Source organism: Homo sapiens, chromosome 4 (genome assembly GCF_000001405.40).
Source record: "Homo sapiens chromosome 4, GRCh38.p14 Primary Assembly".
Taxonomy (NCBI): Eukaryota; Metazoa; Chordata; class Mammalia; order Primates; family Hominidae; genus Homo; species Homo sapiens.
Genome location: NC_000004.12, coordinates 156,298,649 through 156,299,170, shown reverse-complemented (window position 1 = coordinate 156,299,170; position 522 = coordinate 156,298,649).

The window sequence follows — 522 nt, the reverse complement described above, 5'->3', positions numbered from 1 at the left end:
TCCAAACAGGTCAGTTTTTCCTGGCATGATAAAGAAGTGCCCCCTGCATTCACCTTTACAAAAACAGTCTCACTGTGAAATGACCAGTCTGATTTGTGTTCTCTGTTTCTGCTTTCTGCAGCCCTTTTTTCTGCCTATAAAGCCAACCTCTTCTGCTTGGCTCATCAGAATACTCATTCTATTTTATTGAGTGTTTCTCGACTCTCAAATTGCAAATAAAAGCCACTTGTTGAATTTTTTGTACTAAATTTGGTGCAATTTTTTTGACAGCTATAAAGGGTTAAGTAGAGGGGGTCTTGTGGTGCTGATACAGTTGACTGAACTGTTTTTTTTTTTTTATTTAAGTCATAGAATTTGTTTGTATTTAAAGTCTTTAAAACTTATTTAGAGTAAGGTTTATACTGTTGTCACTGATTTGAAATTCTCCATGGATAAAATCAGAATAAACAAGCAAGAAAACGGTGACTTTAAAGGAATAATTTATCAAAATCACAGCCTACCATTCTCTTTTCAGATTGTCTT